Raw genomic sequence first — 23,600 nt, forward strand, 5'->3', positions numbered from 1 at the left:
GGCCAAAAAGCACATGAAAAGCTGTTCAACATCATTAGTCATTAGGAAAATGCAAATCCACACAAAAATGAGATACCACTTTACATCCACTAGAATGGCTATAATAAAAAAAAAATTTTTTAACAAAAAAAAAAAACAAGTAGTTGCAAAGATGTGGAGATATTGGAACTCTTGCATATTGTTGGTGAAAATGTAACGTGGCTTAGTCACTATGGGAAAAAGTCTGGTCACTGCTCAAAAAGGTAAACCTACAATTATCATATATTCCAGCATTTCCACTCCTGGGTATATATCCAAAAGAACTGAAAATATGTATTCAGAAAAACATATATACATCTATATGGCAGTTTTATTCATGAACCAAAAAGTGGAAACAACTCACATGCCCAACAATAAGTGAATAGATAAACAAAATATGTGGTATTCACATGGAATATTATTCAATGGAATATTATTCAGCCATAAAAAGAATAAAGTTTTGATATCTGCTACAACATAGATGAACCTCAAAAACATTATGCTGATGTTTCTTTAGTGAAAGGAATCTAAGAAGATAAAATGTCATGTGTTGTATGATTCCATTTATATGATATATCCAGCATAGGTAAATCCACAGAGACAGAAAGCAGATTAATACTGGCCAGGGCCCTGGGGAAGGGAGAATGGTGAGTGCTATGGTCTGAAAATTTGTGTCCCCCGCAAATTCATATGTTGAATTCTTAACCCCTAGAGTGATAATATTAGGTTAAGTAGTGAGCTCTTTGGGAGGTTGATTAGATCATGAAGGCAGAGCCCTCATGAATGAGATTAGTACCCCTATAAAAGAGACTGCAGAGAGCTATCTAGCCCTCCCACCATGTAAGGACACAGTTGGAAGCTACCATCCATGAGGAACAGGCCCTTACCAGATATTGAATCTGCCAGTGTCTTGATATTGTACTTCCCTGCTTCCAGAATTGTGACAAAAAAAAAAGTCTGTTGTTTATAAGCCACCCTATTAATAGTATTTTTGTCATTGGAGTCCTGACAACCTGAGACAGTGATTGACTGATTAGTAGGTACAGTGTTTTCTGTTTGGGCTGTTGAAAATATTTTGGAACTAGATAGAGATTATGATTGTGCAACATTGTAAATGGACTAAATGCTACTGAATTGTGCACATTTATAAAATAGTTAATTTTATATTATGTGAATTTTACCTCAATAAAATTTTTTAAATTAATATTCTTTAAAAAATCATAAGTATCCCAAGCTCCAGTGCTTTTGTGGAGAGGATATTTAGTGTAATGTCATCACATTGGACTGACACCAGGAATCAATGGAGTGTGTACTTGACAAAAGCAGACCTGCAAGTCAAAGTGAAGGTTATGTTTATGACTATTCAGTTTTACCACTACGTAAAAGAAGCAAAACATGTCCTAAAGGCTGAAGATGGTTTAGAGGTCTAATGTTAGAAAAGAAAACAGAAAGTAAAAATATCTTACTGTACCATATGAAGGAAAGAAACGTGTCACTGTTACCTCTTGATAAGTAAAACTAATATCTATTTAATTGGTCTTACTGTGTTTACATTATCCATTTTAAAAAACTTAAACTTATGTATCTTAATACGTAATATAGCTACAGTTTCACCTTATTAGCTAGGATGGTCTCGATCTCCTGACCTCGTGATCAGCCCGCCTCGGCCTCCCAAAGTGCTGGGATTACATGTGTGAGCCACCACGCCTGGCCAATATAAACATTCAATAAAGATTTGTTTAAATTGTTCAAATAAACGATTCTATCAGAACACAGAAACCTTACAAAATATTGTTGTATTAATTGACATATTATTTAATTAACCATATTAATTTAAAATGCCACTGTTAAAATAATAGCATTTATGTAGAAAGGCTACAGAAAAGCAAATACAGAATCATATATAATTTCAAATAAACACCATCTTTTCTTATATTTATGTTAAAATAACCACATGTGTACACTCATCAATTATATATGATATATATTTTATTGGTCTGTTATGGCTGTTGCCTGAGTTGGCCTTCTAAAAAGTTGGTTACCCTATTCAGAAGGTTGTATGGAGGTAATGAATAAAGTATACTTATTTAAGGAAAATTTATACTGGAGTATTTAGGGGTAAAGACATATTATGTTTATAGCTTGCTCAAATGGTTGAGAAAGAGACTGATGATAATGGATATTGGTACAGCTATAGATATAGATATAAATCCATCTAATACATTTTACTGTATATAAATTATACCTCAATGAAAATAAGTTTTTAAAAAATCATTGTTAAGTCCCTTTACTTGTTACACTGCCAAAATTGAGTTCTGTGTCGTTTGTTCTCTGTCATAAGCAAACATATATCTGAATGTCTTTGAAAAATAAAAAATTTTACAATGTTCTTCAAAATCAGTGGTTCTTAAAAAAAAAAAAAGTATGCTGCTAGCTTCTCTAGTTACAAAGCAAGGTCACGTATTTGGATTTAGCATTCCCACAGAGCCTGGCAATGGGTTGTTGTAGCAGTGGGTGGACAGCAAGCAAGTCTTTAGCTAAAGGAGGTGAGGAGTTCACAAGCAGGACACACGTGATAGAGGAGAAGCTAATCTGCTTTCCCACTGTGTGCCATTAGGCAAGTCACTTAGCATTTCTGAGCCCCAACTTATTCTCTGCAAACAAAATCAAAACCTATTATTCCATCCAGCTTTGGATAGTTATTTCTTTATTTTCACGAACAGGTGACATGAATATAATTATTTGACTCAGTGAATGATATAGTGAAGTTAAGACGTATTTAAAAGAGCAATATTTTCTTTATGATTCACATTGCCACGTTCTGACACACCAACAAAAAGACCAAGAGTGTGAAGGCAGAAACTACAGATGTTTGGATGTTCACGTTGGCTTATTACCAAGAAGCTAAGCCTGACTGCTTTGAAGTAAAAAGCAAACAGCAAATCTCTGGAGGCCGAAGCTGCCCCTGAGATTTCTCCAATGTGTTTGGTTCTGGCAGGGCCACTCAGCCTTCCAGAACATCCTTTTACAACCCATTTACCCACGTTTTGAAGTGAAATTCTGAATCATTTTCTGTTCCAATCTTTCAAACAGTTCTATCTATTCTAAGTACTTTTTAATAAAACTCATGTCATGTCCTTAATTTCTCCTGAAAATTTTATAGCAAGAAAAACAGCTAAAGATATAGATATTAATAAATACAAAGTTTTATTAGGGCAAATTTATTCTTGTTTCAAAATATTTTTGTTAGCCTTATTTTTATATATTCATGAAGAACATATAATTTTAAAAAGATGCATTTGAACAATTAAGGCATATTTCAACATAGTTCTTATTGTCTTTAGAACATAATTCAAGCAGCCATCAAATCTATTCTTATTACCTAATCAACTTTGTAAAGTTGCTTTCGTTAATTCATACTGTAATTCTGTTTGAATTATTCCATAAGAATGGTGAAAGATAAATATGAAATTACTTTGATATTCATGCTAGGAATTTTATTAATTGATATTGATTTTTATTTTGTTATTATCTAAATTATGGCTCCATGACTCAACCACACCCTCCAAAAAATGCACAGTCTTTCCTGGTTTGGGGAGTATCAGGAGACAGAGGGCATATAGAAAGGATTTCTCTCAAGAGGCTATGGACTTTCTAGGTCCATGTTTTTAAAATTATGTCCCGCTAAATAACTAATTCCATAAGACATTACTAGATTAAAAAAATAAAATCATTCTGTGGTGAAATTTAGGTACTTAAGCATCCTAGATTCCCTTCTTGAAGATTCACAATACTCCTCTGTATTTTAAAGCTCTGAGAAGTTCCAAAGTGAAATAAACCAACTATCAAAATTACCTGTCAGTTTCTTTAGTTCATCTGACTTTGTCCTGGGCTCTCCCTCCCACCTCCCTTACTGTAGGTGATCCCTGTACTCTAAACTGCATTCTGGCACAATCTGTGTTGAACATCATAGATGACTGAGGGTTGCCAAGGTGTATCCAAGACTTTACCATAGACCCCCATTGTCTATGATTCTAGCCTCTATGGTGCTCTCTTCAAAGAAATATTAAAATCATTTGATTACCAGAACAAATTACCATTGATGCCCTCCAGCCTTTCAAATGACTACCTTGGTCTATTTCTTCCTCAATCTTCCTCTGCTGAAAAAGTAGCAGGGCAGTCTTAAAATATTCCTACATTTTACTTCAAATAATCACCACATGAGGGAAGACACATTCTTAAAAGTAAAGCTTAATGTGAAAACTCATTAGGAGGTCAGAAAGAGTCTAGCATTGAATCAGGTTCAGTCTGATTGATGCTTTTCTAGTAATTCTTTTAATTATTTTTCCTACCTTTATATATATATATATATAAAACTGAAGTACGTTCATGGAAATGTTTCCAGCTGGGAAGGCCATAGACTCAGGAGGAAGTCCAATTATATCTTATTTGCATTTCTTTACCTGCCTATTAAATTTTAATCACCCACTGCATCACTTTTGTGTTTTCATTTTTGTTTCTTGACACAGTGTTTGGGGTGGCAAGGAAAGAATGAAAAATTATAAATCCTAGTTTTTCAGTGAAAGAATGTGGCAGTAGTAATGGAAAAAGGAAAAGTATTCTCTACACGCATCTCTCATGCACCTGATATGTGTTTTACCCTTTAACACTTGGGAGAATCCTATGAGGTGGGTATTATCATTTCCATGTTGTAGATGAGGATTTATGCTCAGAGAGATTTTCTTAAAAAAATAAAACAGATTGATGATTATATTCTCTAAATTTTTAAAATTTAGACTACATATAATGGTTTAGACTACATATAATGGTTTGGTGAAAACATAATATTTGGATATTAAATACTTGATGTAAATAAGGTTATTATTTATTTGGAGACATATCCTTTAGATCCTTCATTTTGCCCTTTATATATCTATGTGTGTGTGTATATATATATATACACACACACATATATGCACATATACACTTATACATATATATATATATACACATATATAAAGATTTGCATTACATTCCAATTCTGAAATAGCATTTATATTATATTAATCATGATTTCCATAATCATTTACTTATTTCTTCTTCAAACTGATCAGTAATTTTGGTAGTGACTCCTCAGATTTTCTGAGAAGAAATTCTGATAATTTCCCTCTGATGCTTCTATTCATTTAAGTACAGTATTGTCTGTCACTCAAAAAAGCAGCAATAATCCCAGATAGTCATGCTCTGTGCACAGTGATAAATGATCTAGCATCAAGCAGTGCTAGGTATGAGATGAGTTATATACAGATGCTTATGCCCATCACCCAACTAGCTTGATCAATAGCATTCAGTATGATACAATACAATTCCAAGTGGAAACAAACAAATAAGTGTTGAAATCGAAACCAGCTAAATTCTTGCCAACTACTTAATTGTATTTTATGCTCAACACTTAAACACTCATACACATTTACAGGTTTACATGAGCAAATCTAAACTCTCCAGTTATAAATTCATTGATTAAGGAAGGCACTGCTATATGTAAATCATACTGGTCTTGTTGATAAAGTCAAGTTCCAGACAACCTGTGGTATATGTCAAAATGTTTTCAAAATTAATAGTAATGATAGCAATTTAATGAATGTTTTGCAATGGTATTTAAGAGATTGTTCCAATGAATCCCTTACTTCTTTTAATGAATTAAAATCAGTACATTTCTTTGCTAAAATTTTAGTAATCTGCTCCTCCCTTTATTAAAGGAAAGAATTTAAAACTAATTTGTCAACTGCATTTTGAGCAAAAGACGTAAACAAAAATTTTCTACCCTTGAAAGGTTTGTATTTGAAAAGACCAGTGAGTGGAATGCACTGATTCTCCATATAGACCACAGATACGCTATACCTCTTTTCTGAAAAGTGGAGAAAAAAGGAAGTGATTAGGTCTTTTAATATCTCATAAACTTATTATTTCTTCAACATGTATAAGCAGATTTCATGCCAGATCTAAAACCTATTTAGGTTTATGAAATATATCAATAAGAGCTTTCAATTATTTAGAGATAATTATGTGGCCTATCCTAGGCTAAATGCTTTACATACACTAAAAAGCTGCAAGCAGTTTCGAACGGCACCTACGAGGGAGGACCCCACTTTACAGGTTATGGAAATTGAATTCTAAAAATTTAGTAAAATGATAAAAATGCTTAAAAATGACTGGTCCAAGGAGGGTCAGATCATATCTACTCTGCATGGAATCTCTGTACTACGCTGCCTCTCTGATTCTCCTTATGGTGGCTTGTAAAGTATCTGCATAACTGGCAACAATACTTTGCTTGCTGCTGCATAGACTCAATCTTCTTAAGAAATAGTGTGAGCACAGCTGTATTTGAGGCAGGGTGCTTTAGAAATACCCAGCCACCTGGAAAACCATAACAAATATGACTTGGTAATCAGCTTTTTCCCAAAGCTGTGATGTCTCACATGTCAAAAGTTGTAAGCAGTTCCTAGAGCTTTGACAAAATTACACCCAAATGAAATTTCTTCCTCACAGGGGAATCTCTAGAGCAATGAGTTGCTCTGGTGCATTTATAAACCACACTCCTGAGTGCATAGTGATTTTTCCCCCTCTCTAAAGAACCATCAGTAAATAAATCCACAGACTTTCCTAAGGGGAGTAATACAAATGCAATCCTTGCAGCCAATACTATAGTCAAGATAGTAATTATAGAAAAAAAAATCGACCTGATAATTTCACCCAAGAAATCAGACATTAGACTAGCCTAAACATTGGGATGGAACCCTTGCTAGAGGTTTATGTGTGCATGGAAATGACTGTCCTTCAGCTTCTTTTTGAGCCCCCTGCCGCTCTACTGAGTAGAGACTTCTCTAGGGAGTGGAGAAATCACGTCTAAGGCCCCTGTATGTCATTCTCTGCATGGCTCTTGGGCACGCACCAAAGTATTGCAGGTGCCAGCTGTGCCCAAGGCTGCAGGATGCCGACCAGCAATTCTTTACTCTCACTGAAGAATAAACCTGAATTGAGCAGAAATTCAAGGAAGAAAAAAGAAAAATGACTGCCCTCCCTTTGGGGATTTTAGCTGTGGTCACAGACATCAAAAGTAACAACATGGGAAAATCAAGCTGAATTATAGTAGAATCTATGTGGCTTTTCACCCTGTGTTTAATTTAGTCAGATGGCTCAGTAAATGATACAAACCTTTTAATGTAGCTATCTTAGTTTCAACTCCATGCATGGTACAGGAACTCTGGCTAAATTAATTATAGTTGATCACGTAATTTCTTTTCTTAAAATGTTTTCCTATACATTGAAGTCTAATTTCCTTAGCATTTAATCTCAGATTCTTCATTACTCCAAATAGTTTATTCACAATAATGCCTTATTTTTTTCTAGTTTCTCTAACTTCCTCAGCATTTAATTCTAGTTTCTTCATTACTCCAAATAGTTTATTCACACTAATGTTTTACTTTTTTTTAATTTCTCTATATTGAATGTCCGTCTCCCACACAATCTTCTCTGCCTCTCAAACCACATAGACCCTTTATTATTTCTTCTTTAAAACTCTTCTTACACATTACCGCCTCCTCCACTCCCTCTGCCTTTTAAAATGAATGACACTCTTAGCCCTTTTTGTGTTCCCATAGCACTGTGTTCCTAACTTTAATGCACTACCTAATTTATTCTCCTAGCTGTGGTTCCATTTGTTCTAGGACAGTATCAGAGCCTTGTTCACCACTGTGTCTCAGTGTTTGTTGAAGGAATCAATTAGTAAATATGCTGTTTATAGATGTATGTCCATTACATAATATATGAAACATAGCAGGAATTCATTAAATATTTTGGAGTGAATGAACGAATGATTCTACTAACTTTATGAGTCCAAGTAACATCTTTATGCTGTACTTAAGATGTAAACCAAAAGTAAAGTTGTATTTTAGGTTTATAATCAGTCCTTTTCCTTAGGATCTATTGACCCCACCTAAGTGGGAAAACTTCTCTAAGTCCTAAGAAGTGAGTAGGATGCCTTTAATTTAAATGGAATGTCCCTCTTAGGGTTCTACAGGCAAAGAATTGGTGATAAAATGTGAGTTCTCTTCCTGATACAAATACATTTCACAGAAATAAGAAGTAAATATTCAAAGGTAAACATTGAAGAAGGGAGGATACTGGCTTTATTTAATTATAAAATGACAAATGGGAAAGAACCTTTTAAGAAAATTCTTCTCAAACTGTTGGTGAGATGCATATGTTAAAACATAAATAATTCCATCTATAAAATATTACTTCACTAAATTTGGCTTAGTGATCTGGTCAAGATGGCCAGGATTTTTTTTCCACCTATGGGGAAAGTTGGAGGAGATAGATGAATCACAATTCATGAAATGTTGATAATTTTTGTAACTCTCAAGGGTCTATAGTAAAATTCTCTTGGCTTTTGTATAGTTCAAAAATTTCCATAATTGCAAATTGAAAACAAAGTGATCAAGATCCAGATCTATCTATCTGTCTGTCTATCTATCTATGGAAATCTTACAGAGAAACATAAACTCAGATTATCCTTTGTCTATGGTTAAAGATCCTTATGTTCCCTAATAATTTCTCATTCCTATTTACTCTCCTTCTTTATGTTGGTTTCATTTTAAAGATATGTTGTATCAGTAGAAATTAAATTAAGTGCAATTATGTTATTTGAAATAATATTAGAGTAATACTTAGTTATTAGCATTTAATTCTAGATGCTTAATAATAAGCATTAAATATGCCTAACAATGTCTAGAACTTTGTAGGTTTTAAATAAATTATAGGTTTTTAAAGAATTACTTATAATTATGAATTATTACTTTTTTGTTTTTATTAGTTTTATTTTTATTATTAATAATAGTTTTTAAGAATTTGTAATAATTATATATCATACAGATGAGTATGATAGATAATATGATGATACAATAATATATAATTATATATATAATTATTAACTCCAAAAATGGTTTTAAAGGATTTCTTAGAGAAGACATGAGAGTATGACATCACCATAATAAAAATTTATTTATTCATCATGTTTCTAAAAGTAGTGTGTGTCATGGTATTAATTTACTCTTAATGCATCAAAGACTGCATTCTGATTATCTTAGCTTGTAACAAAAATTAACTTTGAAAACCATCAAGTAATCATGATAGTATTCCTTAATATGCAAATGTATACAAATTCTGTGTCATTCACATGATGTTAGATTCACCTAAAGGCAAGATCTCTTTATCATGATTTCTCAATTATTTAGGGGATAAAGAGGTAACATTTTGCATGACTTTCACAAACCACAGAAATTTGAAAATATGAAAATTATAGAATAATTCACAGCAGTTTTTAAAATGTATTCACAACACTAAATTGATTACATTAGAAAATAGATAATTTAACTCCTACATAAATTATTCAACTGAGTATGAAATCACAATATTTCTGAAGTAAAGACATAGCAGGCATAATGCTGATCATGTTCATTGTTCTTTACAAAACATGGAATTTTCTTATGCTAAGATAGTTTTAAAATATTTCAGTTTATCTGTGTATTTTCAGAATAAATTCTTTACATGAAAGAGATGTAGAAAAACAGGAAATAGATAAAACTAATGAAACATTCAAAAAAGAGGGGGTTAAAAACCCTCAAGATAATTGGTATCTAGTGAAAGAAGATTCTGGTGAACTAGAATTGCACAACTTTCCTGAAAGTGAAATGGGTTCCTCATATAGACCTTGCTTCAGCATTGGGAAAATTTCTTTTCCATTACAATCATGTGTTGCTTAGCAAAGAGAATACATTCTGAGAAATGCATAGTTAGGTGATTTCCTTGTTGTGTAAACATCATAGAATATATTCACACAAACCTTAGGATATAGCCTGATATACACCTAAGCTATTTGGCATAGCGTACTGCTCCTAGGCTACAAAACTGAACAACATGTTACTGTAGTGAATACTGTAGGCAACTGTAACACAATGGTAACTATCTATCTAAACATAGATAACCATAGAAAAGGTACAGTAAAATTACAATATAAAAAATACAAAATGATATACATATATAGGTAGCTCCGTTATAATAGAGCAAATCCATTATAATCTTATGGAACCACTATTATATATGGAGGCCTGTCATTGGCCAGAATATTGTTATGCAGTACATGACTCTCCTTACTTTCATATCTTGGAGCCTATTTCTTCTCCTAAATCCCTTGGGGATGCGTATGAATTACATGTTTGAAAGTAGATTCTCCCTGGGGACTTCAATTTTGCTATACAATTTCTGCTTGCTCATGACTAGAAACTTAAAGATTGCTTTTGGGACTGGAAAAACAGATTTTTCAGCTCAGAAATGTGGTTTCTTTGATAACATAATGATCTCAAAATGTAGTAGGCATTTGGTCTATTTGCTTGCAGTTGGTTCGATAACCATGCATAAACTTCTTTTCTGGACTTAACAATTATGGAAACACCATCGTATTTACTGTCTTCGTTCCTTTTCCTTAAATCTTGATTCTTGGGATACAGAAGCAGCCAGACTTTTTAGTCTTGTGGAGCCTCAAATTTCTGGATCTTTCTATGTCTTTTTCTGTTTACACACGGGAAAATTCTTACCAAGATTCATCTGTTCTTTGTTAAAAACAACCAGGAACAGGTAAGATACATCAACATTATTGCTCTCATCTCAAAGCTACAAGCACTGTAGCCATTTCCCTCGAAGGCACTTTAGAGCATTTTCCTTCCATGTAGCTGTAGATGACAATTTTAACAAATGTTTGGCTAAGGTCTCACAAGGTCTCAACCTGTAGCATCAGATTCTCTATAGTTGTTACGTGACCACTAGGCCAAAACCACATATTTTTAAGTCTGCTCTGTTGCACTCACTTCTGGTTTCAAATAATGTGGCACGCAGAGTTCAGTGGAGGAAACAAACTTGTTATTCTAGGTATTTTAAACATAAAGAGGAATATAGTGGAATAGGCTCTTACAAAATCCTGTAAAGGATAAAGAAGCATGTTCTGGCCCAAGTCTCTTAGAAAACCAAAACAGTAAAGAAATGGCTCATGATGGAGCTACTTCCTCTGAGACCATTGCTGGAGCAATTTCATCGAGGTCTACAGCCACTACCACTACCCTAGTATCTTGGACCACAAGAAACTAAAGGTTAGGCAGTTGAAGCCATAATCCAAAGAATTACCGTGTCAGAGCAAGAAACCAATGCAACCCTCACTGTTTCTTAACACTCGGGAAGCTATAAATACATGCTGGAACCTGCTTCTGGAAAATTACTACCTTACTAGCTGATGTGCATGGGGTTTCAGAGGGAATCGCCTTTCTCTAACATGCTAACATGTGTCATTCAAATTCACATTAAGGAGTTTCTTTGTACAATTTCATTTTTACCGAGAACACTAAATCCAAGAAATAAAGAAAGCCAACTCAAAAAGATACCACGCTGGCAAAAGCCAAGGAATAAAGACGAGGTTCCCTGTAGGATGACTGCTGTGGGCTGCATCCTAAATATGTCCTCCAAGAGTTTTACCCCCTTGTTATTCAATCAAATGCTACTCTGGGTGCCAATTATAGAGGATTTTGTAGATGTAGTTAAGGTTGTGGTTCTTAAAATGGAGAGATTATCCTGGATTATCCAGGTAAATCCAATCTAATTCCATGAACCTTTTTTTAAAGCAGAGAAAATTCTACAGCTGGAGGCAGAAGAGATTCTGTAGAAGGGGAAGTCAGAGAGATTCAAAGCATAAAAAAGACACTACCTGCTGTATGGCTTTGAAGATGGTGGAACAAGGCCACTCGCCAAGGTACAAGGAGCCTCTAGAAAGCTGAACAGGATGTCAGCTGACAATCAACAAGAAAACAAGGACCTCACCCTTAAGACCACCACGTGGATCTGAATTCTGTGAACAACTTGCATGAATTTGGGAGCAAATTCATTTCCAGAACCTCCAGCAAAGGAATCCAGCCCTGGTGACACCTTGATATTGGCCTTGAGAGACTCTAAGCAGAGAACCAGCTGAGCCACTCTGCACCTAAACTTCTAACTCAGAACATTGTAAACCAATACATTTGTGTTGTTTTAAGCCACTAAATATATGTGATTTATTCTGAGTAATAGAACTTTAATATGCTGAGATGCCATTAACACACTACACACAGACACACACACACACACACACACACACACACACACACTACAATAAAGGGTGGGGGGAGGAGAGGATTCAAAGAACAGAGTAGTCAATCTTGCCCAGAATTTTCAAAGAAAATTCCTTATAGGCAATGCGATATGGTCTACATAAGGCTTAAATAAGTGTAGAGAGGTAGAGAAGAAAGAAATATTTATCAGTGAGGAAAATGGCCTGAGTAAGATACAGGTAATTCAAGAGACTATGAATCCGATCAGGGATTTTTGTTTGTTTGTTTTTGTTATTTCTTGGAGAAAAAGATGATAGAACTGATGTTGAAGGATAAAGTTGGGAGGGAAAAAATTAGACAGAATGTGGAGGGCTATAACAAGAGCCAGCTAATATATTTTAGAAAAAATATCATGTCACAATATACAGCACACACAAGAAATAGGAGACCTATGAGTATGTGTCTAGAAAAGACAATACTACCAACATTTTCATGAAGATATTTCTGCTTACATAACTGGTGCATCAGTTTGCTCTGTCACTGAAATTTTCTTCCAACCTGTGGAAATCTCCGCCATGGACAACAAGCTTCTTAACTTTTCTATGCATAGAATTACTGCTGATGCCTGTCGGCATCAATGTTTAATATTTGCCTAGACTTATGGCCATGTCTAAACCATAGTACATATGAGCCAAAAGTAGATCAAGTAATAAAATTCAACATGACTGTGTAACCCTGATAAAGATCAAGAGAGAAAAGCTATGTTTTCACTCATTTGCATGTTGACATTGTTAACACGTGGACATCATCTTTTCCCATAACAAATGCATGCACATAACATAGTAAGTCTCCATCTCTCAAAGTTGTTTCATGTGATTCTCTATTAGGCAGCAGCTGGTTTTTATTCAAGCATATTTGATTAATCTTTAAAAATCACCAGATTCCCCCATTCTACTTTCATCCACAAACAGTTTTTAATTTCCCAATAAAGTATATCAGTATGACTAGAACACTCACATATTATCTATGTGCATTCAGTTTTACTTGCCAGTTGTAGAATGCTGGTGCTGGATAAGCATTTGTAAACTGAGAAATACAATTGCAAAAACAAACACATACAAAGCCTTTTAGCAAACTGGTGGATGCCTGTGGAGCTGCCATCCTCAGATGATGCATCCAGCTCATTCATGCCTCCAACTGGAACAGCATTAAACAAAAATGCGCCGGATTCAGGTCCAAATAGCGGTACATGCTAGCAACAAATCCTGTGTACCTTCTTCTTCCCTCCCTCAAATGGCAACATTTCAAGCTAAAATAGCTTTTTTAAAAAAAGACAACAAATTTTTCATTACACCGTATCACCAACAACTGACTTGCTGTAATGTCAAATATATTCAAATTGGCAGGATCAGTTACACGTGGGTAAGGATGCATCCTTAAATTTTAAAGCAGACATTTAGTAATTTTAATTTATCATTTTAATTTTACCTGGGTGACTCAAATACCTTAAATATGGATTATTAAAACTTTCTTTTTGAAAATTAAAACATTTTTTAGAAGGACATTTTCTACTATTACATTAAGTTTTAAGTATGTCAAAGGGAAGGGCACAATGTCACCCTTCTCTTTGCATAGCAAGAGTGACCTTTACTCCAGTTCCCACCAAGTTCCTCATCTCCATCTGAGACCACCTCAGCCTGGACTTTATTGTCCATATCACTATCCGCATTTTGGTCAGAGCCATTCAACAAGTCTCTAGGAATTTTCAAACTTTTCCACATTTTCCTGTTTTCTGAGCCCTCCAAACTGTTCCAGTTTCTGCCTGTTACCCAGTTGCAAAGTCTCCTCCACATTTTTTAGTATCTTTACAGCAATGCCCCATTAGCCAGTACCAATTTACTACATTAGTCTGTTCTCTGCCAGTAATAAATACATACCCGAGACAGGGTGATTTATAATGGGAGGAGGTTTAATGGATTCACAGTTCCACATGGCTGGGGAGGCCTCACAATCATGGCAGAAGGCCAAGAGGAAGAAAGACACATCTTACATGGTGGCAGTCAAGAAAGCTTGTGTAGGGGAACTCCCGTTTATAAAACCATCAGATCTCATGAGGCTTATTCACTACCATGAGAACAGTATAGGGGAAACTGCCCCATGACTCAGTTACCTCCACCTGGTCCTGCCCTTGACACGTAGGGATTATTACAATTCAAGGTGAGATTTGGGTGGGGACACGGCCAAATAATATCAGGCCTCAAACAATTTAGGAAGTTTATTTTGCCAAGGTTAAGGATGCAAGCCCAGGAGACAGGTCTATGCCTTTCTCCCAAGATGATTTTGAGGACTTCAATATTTAACCAGGAAAGAGCAGATATTTAGGAAAGAGGAAGAAATGTTTAAAATGTGTGGATAGATAAGAGATAAACAGTTGCCTTCTTCTGAGTCTTCGATCAGCCTTTCAAAGAATATACAATTTACATGTCAGAGAGGAGTAGAGGAATCTTCACTTATGACTTCTACCTTAGTGAATCTGCATTTTTACATCAGAGGAAGCAATCAGTTATGTATTTGTCTCAGGTGAGCAGAGGGATGACTTAGAGTTCTCTTCTTTGTCCCACACCTGTGAAGATAAGCTATCAGTTTACATTGTCAGGGTAAAATTCAACAGAACTCTTTCAGGGTAAAGATCTTGGGACCCACAAGGAATCTTCTAGGGGGAAATATGTAGCTCTTTTATCTTTGTAGATATCTTATTTAGGAATAAAATGTGAGCCAGGTTTGCCTCATGCAGTGTCCAGCTTGACTTGTCCCTTTGGGTTAGTGATTTGAGGGTCATGAGATTTATTTTCTTTTCACAAATAAAAAGAAAAATCTGTCAGATTGCCATTGCAATCTGAAGATGCTTAGAAGATTCTGGAAGAGCTAGTCTATCAACTACTGCAGACATTAACCTTTGGTTTTCTTTTGTTTCCATAGAAATGTCTTTTATGAAAGATCTGTTTGCCTGTACCATATATAGAGACTTAGGCCATTTATTTGCAGTGCCACCTCCTGGAATGGGACACTGTCGTTTAACTGAACTGATCTATTCTCAGGACCAAGAGACTGACTAGAAGATATGGCATGATATATTTAAATTTGCTCTTTTCTGCTTATCCCAATTTGTCTTTCAACTCCTTTGTCTATTTGTATCAGACAACCTCTAACCTATAGCTCTTCAAATCTATCAGTGTGGCTTTTAGTATGTAAAACTTTTTTAAGTTTCAAAGAGCGGACTGAAGGAAATCAAAATATTTTACCCCGAAATGTATTTCTTTGACATATTTTGTGATGGCTGCCAGAGGGCCAGCAAATAGAAGGGGCCCTGTAAAACTGTCTTTTGCATCTGTAGAGAATCTCCTATCATACAGCAAGGCCTTCCCTTGTCTGGATCTAGGAAAGATGAACTGAGAATCTTACAGATTTAAAGATTTGGGAAAAAAAACAGACAAAAACACTTACCATATATTATTTCTGAGGGCTGTGACCTATGAGGTTTTATCTACATAACAAGATTACTTTTACTAGTCAAGTCTCCTCTTCTCTCTCTCCCATAACCTGTCTTGCCATGTGATTTATCACCCTAACCGGTTTTAGGTCATGTTCCAAGTTCCCAGTCTTTCTCTAAATTGAAGATAGCATGTAAGTTTCTGCACCTTATTGGGGTATTGGGTTCTTCATTCTGAAGGCTCCTGTGTCATGAAAAACTATCATCAAATACATGTGTATGCTTTTTTTCCTATTAATCTGCTTTTGTGAGTTGATTTTTCATTGGACCTTCTGAAGCAAAGGGGAAGCTTTTCCTCTGCCCCTATAGAGAGAAGAGAAAAAAAAAACCTAGAGGGTTTCATTACAAAATACCAACTTCCCTCGCCTCATTAAGCACTGAGATAAGAGAATTTCAGGTTTGATTTTCTAATCATTCTCTTCTGATTGCACTTGGAAATATCCCCTGCTGTTGCCTGAAAAATTCCTAGCAATGTTCTAAACACAGAGGACCAAAAAAACCTTTGTCTGTTTGTATTTGTCTATAACTAAAGTAAAAACAAGTTTTCCTTTAGTTTGGCTTATATTGTCAACAAGAATTAATTAGTATTCTAGTTATTACAGGGAAAGTTTAGCTTCCCAATCTAAGAAGAATGTGCTGCTATTCAAAGCTATTATGGCTCCCCATGCAGAAAACTTACATTACAGTATAAACATATGGCTGGTCATTGTCTGGTAGTCCCTCCAGTTACCCTGTTTAACATTCTTTTGTGAGCATTTCTAAATATTGGCTTTATGCTTAAAATGTGCTTAAAGAGAAAACACTTTTTCCTTTCTAATACTTGTGAAGTCAGTCAACTAGGATTTACAAACCAAATTAATATATCCCTGGAGGTCCTCACCAATAAGAAATAAAAACATTAAGAAACAAACTTACGAAGCAGAAACCTAAAGCAATTGTCATGTAACCAAAAGCTGAGGGCTTTTTGGAAAATTGGGGGATATCTTTTAGACTCAGCATCATCAAATCCTTCACAACTTTAGAAAGTGTTAGCACAATTGAAATTATAGATGATCCTTGGATGAAATGTACTGAATTATAATCTATGAAATTAAAACTTGATAATTAAGTCTATCTCTAAAGTCTCTTTGTTATAATGTATTCAAAATATTTTTTCATTCAAAAATATTTAAATTGCATCTTTTTCAAGAACTTATCTAAACCCTGATGGTTTACTCACAACAGATATTACTCAAAGCTTCAAGAGGGCCATATGTGCTCTAATTTAGAAACTCCACATTTTGGGGGAATTTCTGGAAACGTTTTGTGCTCTTGTTCACTTATAATAACTTTATGCAAAATAGGTTATCACTGTTAATTACCTTGACGTGACTCGTATTGTGAATTTTAAAGAGGATAAAATAGATAAGCTCTGGAGAACTTCAAACACTTGGAGGTACAATTTAAAAGAAATGGGGTCGATAAGAATTAAGGAGGTAGAAATATTTAGTAACTGAAAACACGCAGGTGTATTGACTTAGAGAAGAATCTAGGTATGAAATCTACTTAATCACACAAGTCCCAGACCAATAATTACTGTTATATATAATTATTACAAAGAAGAGATTATCACTTGTCCTAATACTTTGAAAATTTGCCAGTAATTGTATGTTTCTCCTCTAATGAGAAGCCTTAGCATGTATGTGCTATCCAATCTCAAAGGAAATGAAAACTAAAAATGGTTCCAATCCAGGGAAAGATTACAAATAGCATTTCTTGATGTGAATGTGGTTTTCTTAAATTTATAATCAGAACCCATTGGAAGTATTTCAGACACAGGTGAGAAATGTTCCTACAAAATGTGGGGAACAGAAGACTCATCTGTTATCTCCGCCTTCACCATCCATAGAAATTTCTAGGGTCAGACACACAGGTTAATAAATACATTGCAGTGGAGATTTTTCAATGTGAGATTATTAGGTATGTATCCAACCCCTGCTGCTTTCAGCCCCAGGTTTGAGAGGTGGGTCATATGCTCTTGCTTAAGTTTACCAGCTCAGTGGTATTTCAGCAGAATGGACCACCTGTCAGGCAGAAAATGTGACCCAGTGGGAGGTCTGCACTAGCATCAAAAGTTATCATGAAACTTGTTCATTTGTCTTCTTTCTATATTTAATCAGCGTTAGGAATGTTGGAACATGGTAGAAATGAAACACATAGCATTTTTCTTCTTAAGTGAGCATATTGTAGAGTTTGGGAGCCCTAGATTCTTCTCACAGGAGTGACTGTGAGCTGTCAGGAAGTAGCTTTCAAGCACAGCAGGAACCTTAATGAACAGTGGGAATAATATCTCCATATGTGACTGTGAAGACTGAGAATAAAAGGAAGATAATAGCAAACGAATGATATTATTGAAAACATGATTTTAAGTGGAACTGTTGAAATGTGTTCCACTTTGGGGAGGCGGCAACAATTTGTTACAGCACACAAACCAGCAAGCATTGTTTTTATTGTGTTCTTATGAATTTGTGATAAGATGCCAAGGTCTGAACATATGAAAAAGCTAATATGATAAATAGAAAGATTAATGTCTTCAGGAAAATGAAGTAGTAGGTGTTTAAGAGCATATGAAAAATTTTAATAATTTTTTTGTATCTGAAGCTTGTGATGTTTTGATAAATAAAAAGTAAGACATAAAGTAACTTGATTCGACTTTGCAATATATTTACCTTATTAACAATAGCTCATTGAAATTCAATGGCTATTCAGAACTTGAGACAAAAACAAAAGGTAATGGGTCTCCAACTCTCAGAGGCCTTCAAACCAGAGCAACTCCATCTTGAATAGGGGCTGGGTAAAATAAGACTGAGACCTACTGGACTGCTTTCCCAGGAGGTTAGGCATTCTTAGTGACAGGATGAGATAGGATGTCTGCATAAGATACAGGTCACAAAGGCCCTGCTAATAAAACAGGATGCAGTAAAGAAGCCGGCCCAAACCCACCAAAACCAAGACGGTGCTGAAAGTAACCTCTGGTCGTCCTCACTGCTCACTATACACTAATTATAATGCATCAGCATGCTAAAAGGCACTCCCACCAATGCCATGACAGTTTACAAGTGCCATGGCAATGTTCAGAAGCTACCCTATATAGTCTAAAAAGGGGAGGATCTGCAGTTCTGGGAAATCTCTGCCCCTTTCCCCCTGGAAAGCTCATGAATAATCCACCCCTTGTTCAGCATATCATCATGAAATAACTGTAAGTATACTCAGTCAAGCATCCCATACCACTACTCTGCCTATGGAGTAGCCATTATTTTCTTACTTTCTTAATAAACTTGTTTTTACTTTGTGGACTTGCCCTTAATTATTTCTTGCATGATATTCAAAAACCCTCTCTTGGGGTCTGGATGGGGACCCCCTTCCAGGAAACAACTGGTGGTCATGGAATGGTAGTATATAAAAATTTACATAAAAAGCTAATGTCAGAAAGAAAAGTGTAAGGGGTCTGAAATGTTTTTAATTTAAAAGGCAGTTTTCCTTTGGTCTTCCCAAATGACACTTCTTAGGCTCTTATCCTTCTTTAGGATAAGGTTCTTAACATACCTCAGGGATCAAAACACTACTCAGTTTCTTGGAGGATAACACATTTGACTCTACCCATAGCTTGGGTGTGGTTCCCAGGAAGTCAACCTTGAGGACTGGATGTGCTTGCAATTGATTTATTAAGGATGTGAGGTGTATTAGTTTGTTTTCACACTGTTGATAAAGACATACCAGAGACAGGGCTATTTATAAAAGAAAGAGGTTTAATGGACTTACAGTTCCACATGGCTGGGGAAGCCTCACAATCATGGTGGAAGGCAAGGAGGAGCAAGTCACTTTTTACATGGATGGCAGCAGGCAAAGAGAGTGTTTGTGGCAGGGAAATTCCCCCTTATAAAACCATCAGATCTGGTGAGACTTATTCACTATCACAAGAATGGCAAAGGAAAGACCTGCCCCCATGATTCAATTACCTCCCACCAGGTTCCTCCCACAACATGTAGAAATTCAAGATGAGATTTGGGTAGGGACAGAGCAAAACCATATCAGGAAGCCAGGAAAAACTGAGGAAAGAAATGGGTGAAGTAAGGACAGTGAAGAGGAAAAAGAAAAGCAGAAGCAAGACTGCAGAAAGAGACCTAACTTCAATGCAATAGTAGAGCACAAGTTTGGAGTGTTAATTATGCCTCAGCATTTGTCCTTAAAGTCAAAGGAGATGGGCTGTGCTGGTCCCACTCTAATACTTGAATATAGGCTCAATCCAGCTGGAACTATAGGTGTGTACCACCACACCAAGTTATTATTATTATTATTATTATTATTATTGAAGTTCTAGGGTACATGTGCACAACGTGCGGGTTTGTTACATATGTATACATGTGCCATGTTGGTGTGCTGCACCCATTAACTGGTCATTTACATTAGGTATTTCTCTTAATGCCATCCCTCCTCCCTCCCCCCACCCCACGACAGGTTCCAGTGTGTGATGTTCCCTGCCCTGTGTCCAAGTGTCCTCATTGTTCAATTCCCACCTATGAGTGAGAACATGAGGTGTTTCGTTTTCTGTCCTTGCAATAGTTTGCTCAGAATGATGGTTTCCAGCTTCATCCATGTCCCTACAAAGGACATGAACTCATCCTTTTTATGGCTGCATAGTATTCCATGGTGTATATGTGCCACATTTTCTTAATCCAGTCTATCATTGATGGACATTTGGGTTGGTTCCAAGTCTTTGCTATTGTGAACAGTGCCACAATAAACATATATGTGCATGTGTCTTCATAGGAGCATGATTTATAATCCTTTGGGTATATACCCAGTAATGGGACGGCTGGGTCAAATGGTATTTCTAGTTCTAGATCCTTGAGAAATCGCCACACTATCTTCCACAACGGTTGAACTAGTTTACACTCCCACCAACAGTGTAAAAGCACTCCTATTTCTCCACATCCTCTCCAGCACCTGTTGTTTCCTGACTTTTTAATGATCACCATTCTAACCAGTGTGAGATAGTATCTCATTGTGGTTTTGACTTGCATTTCTCTGATGACCAGTGATGATGAGCATTTTTTCATGTGTCTGTTGGCTGCATAAATGTCTTGAGAAGTGTCTGTTCATATCCTTTGCCCACTTTTTGATGAGGTTGTTTGATTTTTTCTTGTAAATTTGTTTAAGTTCTTTGTAGATTGTGGATATTAGCCCTTTGTCAGATGGGTAGATTGAAAAAATTTTCTCCCGTTCTATAGATTGCTTGTTCACTCTGATGGTAGTTTCTTTCGTTGTGCAGAAGCTCTTTAGATTAATTAGATCCCATTTGTCTATTTTGGCTTTTGTTGGCATTGCTTTTGGTGTTTTAGTAATGAAGTCCTTGCCCATGTCTATGTCCTGAATGGTATATATATATTATTTTTAGCAGAGACGAGACTCTACTAAAGGCCAGGCTGGTCTCAAACTCCTGGCCTCAAACTACTAACCTCAAGGGATCTTCCTGCCTTGGTCTCCCAAAGGGCTGGGGATACAGGCATGAGTCACCACTCCCACCCATAGCATTCTTAACATACTAGTGCCACTTACCAATCAGCTAACCACTTTCTTCTGTTCCATCTGTATACAAGAAAATTGAAATAAAATATATAACTGCATCAGAACAATTATTTTTTATGCAGTGTATATGAATCCTTGTTAAGTTGCTACATTAAAGTACTGAAAAAGAAAATATTAACAAGTAAAAACAAATTGTAAGATAGAAATGTGCTATGAAAATATGAACAGCAATAAAACTGGCTTGGGATCATGGTCTATATGAAGGTATGTCTTTGTGGCCTTACCCCTTTCCTTGACTTTTTCATGTGTATTTTCTTCAGGTAAAAAGTACAAAATGAACGTATCAATCCTCTCACCTGGAAATTAGCCTTTAAAGTATACAGAGCTAGTTCGAAAAATGTGTGGTTCACTCGAAATAGTTAGTTCTTCAGAATTCTATTCTACATAATATTACCTTTATTGAACAATAATTCACTTTGTAAAATTTAAGCCAAATTTCATATTCCGTTCTGAGATCTTTAACAAAGAATGAAAGAGATAGAAAATGTGCTATGTAAGAAACTTTTCTCTAGGTCACTTCACCCTACACATGTACTGTCATCTAGACAAGCGCTATTTCACTGTAAGAAATAAAATCCCCACTCTGGCTGTGTGACTGTCCCCAGTGATCATTTGCTCCTGTGATGCCCTTCACATTCAAGCCTTAGCACAGACAATCTGGTCACTTCTTGGGAGTCCATAATGCCCCCAGGACAGAGTAAGAGGCCTGGCATTATTCCAGTTCATATAATTGCACTCTTACTACCTAACATTTCCTCATATTTCCAATTAAATATGGCACTTCATTTTATCAAATCCCTATGTGCCAGTGAACAGTTGTTATGTTCTAATTTGTTCTTCACCTCATGACAGGTAATGTTTACAAAGTCTGTAAATTTACAACCTTAAATGACACTATGTAAATATGAACAAATCAATTTCATCCCAGATCTAACTTTGACCATTTATGAGGGAGTTACAGGCCTTCCAAGCTTCTTTCAGAACATCAGTAGTTTGCCTGGAATCATATTTGAGCATTGTCCCAAATTTTGATGTCAAGTGACCTTTCCTGTTTAATGGAAAAAATAAAAAATTTTATACCCAGGGAATCGAATCTAGATAGATTGTTGGTTACAGGAAGTAAATGATGAAAGCACATCACGTAATAATGGAAGAGGCCATAAAACCCCATAAATGTCACTGCTTTCTAGGTAATTATACCGAATGAAAGACAGACTAGCTCATTGATGAGTTTACCCCTGTATACTTTCAACTCAAAAGAAATAACTGTGGCTCTAACACAAAAATCTTAGCGAGGATTTCTGGTCTCATAGACTAACAACATTTAATCATAGACCACATTTATAAAGCTATCTTACACTTCATTTCAAATATCTACACTTTAAACTGTCTAGAAACACTTCGTTCAGCTCAATTGTCCCAAGGACCTTTAGTGATGACATGTGGGTAAGGCACCAACTACAACAGGTAACAATGATTTTTATGCTCTTTGTGGTGTTTAAATAATTCTTAGTCTGTAATCAAACAAGTTGAATGCAAACATACTATTTTATTTGATTCTTTTTGCCATGTCTGAAGATCTTCTCCTTGCAGTTAAAGTATAAGGCCCTTAGGCTATATTTCTATATTTTTTTAGCTTCTAGTGGAATTTAGGGCATGAGGTACATGTAACATGGGTACATACAGACGAAAAAAATATCTGGCCATTGGAGTTAACTGATTTGAGTAATCACAGCCAGTAATGGAAATACCAAATCAAATTGTAAGTTTTCTGATTCAGTATACAGTACGCTTCCAACTCCATTGCAGAATTCCTCCTGAGAGAGGGAGTTTGTCCTTAAGCATTCTCAGCTGCTTTCTGGCTCACCTTTCGGGATAGAATATTTCATGAGGTAGAGCATGCTATTTCAACTCCAAACAGCTTTACTGATTGGAGAATGAACCTTTTGATAGAGGGGATGGACATTAGAGATAAATCTTATTGGTACATAGCATCACTAGGGGCTTTTCTGACTGGCTAGGAAATCCACTCCAATGTAGACATAGAACAAAAGCTTATTCACTTTTAGGCAGAATCTAATCAGTAACACTGCAATCACCAGCTGCATCTCAGTGTTGGGTATTTGCAGCACATTAGTCCTTGGGGCAATTAAAATGTAGCAAGAAGCAACATTTCATCTTTGTGTAGAACAAAGCCTGGCAAAGAGTATGTA

The 23,600-nt window shown here is 35.7% G+C and overlaps 1 annotated feature.

The window, feature by feature from the left end:
• Nucleotides 17,638-18,139: an enhancer, noted in NCBI's record as "NANOG hESC enhancer chr5:30596572-30597073 (GRCh37/hg19 assembly coordinates)". NCBI's record gives its function as "activates a minimal SCP1, AML or CMV promoter by ChIP-STARR-seq in primed H9 embryonic stem cells {active_cell/tissue: H9 hESC(primed)}" and the evidence as "EXISTENCE:reporter gene assay evidence [ECO:0000049][PMID:30033119]".

Source organism: Homo sapiens, chromosome 5 (assembly GCF_000001405.40).
Source record: "Homo sapiens chromosome 5, GRCh38.p14 Primary Assembly".
NCBI lineage: Eukaryota > Metazoa > Chordata > Mammalia > Primates > Hominidae > Homo > Homo sapiens.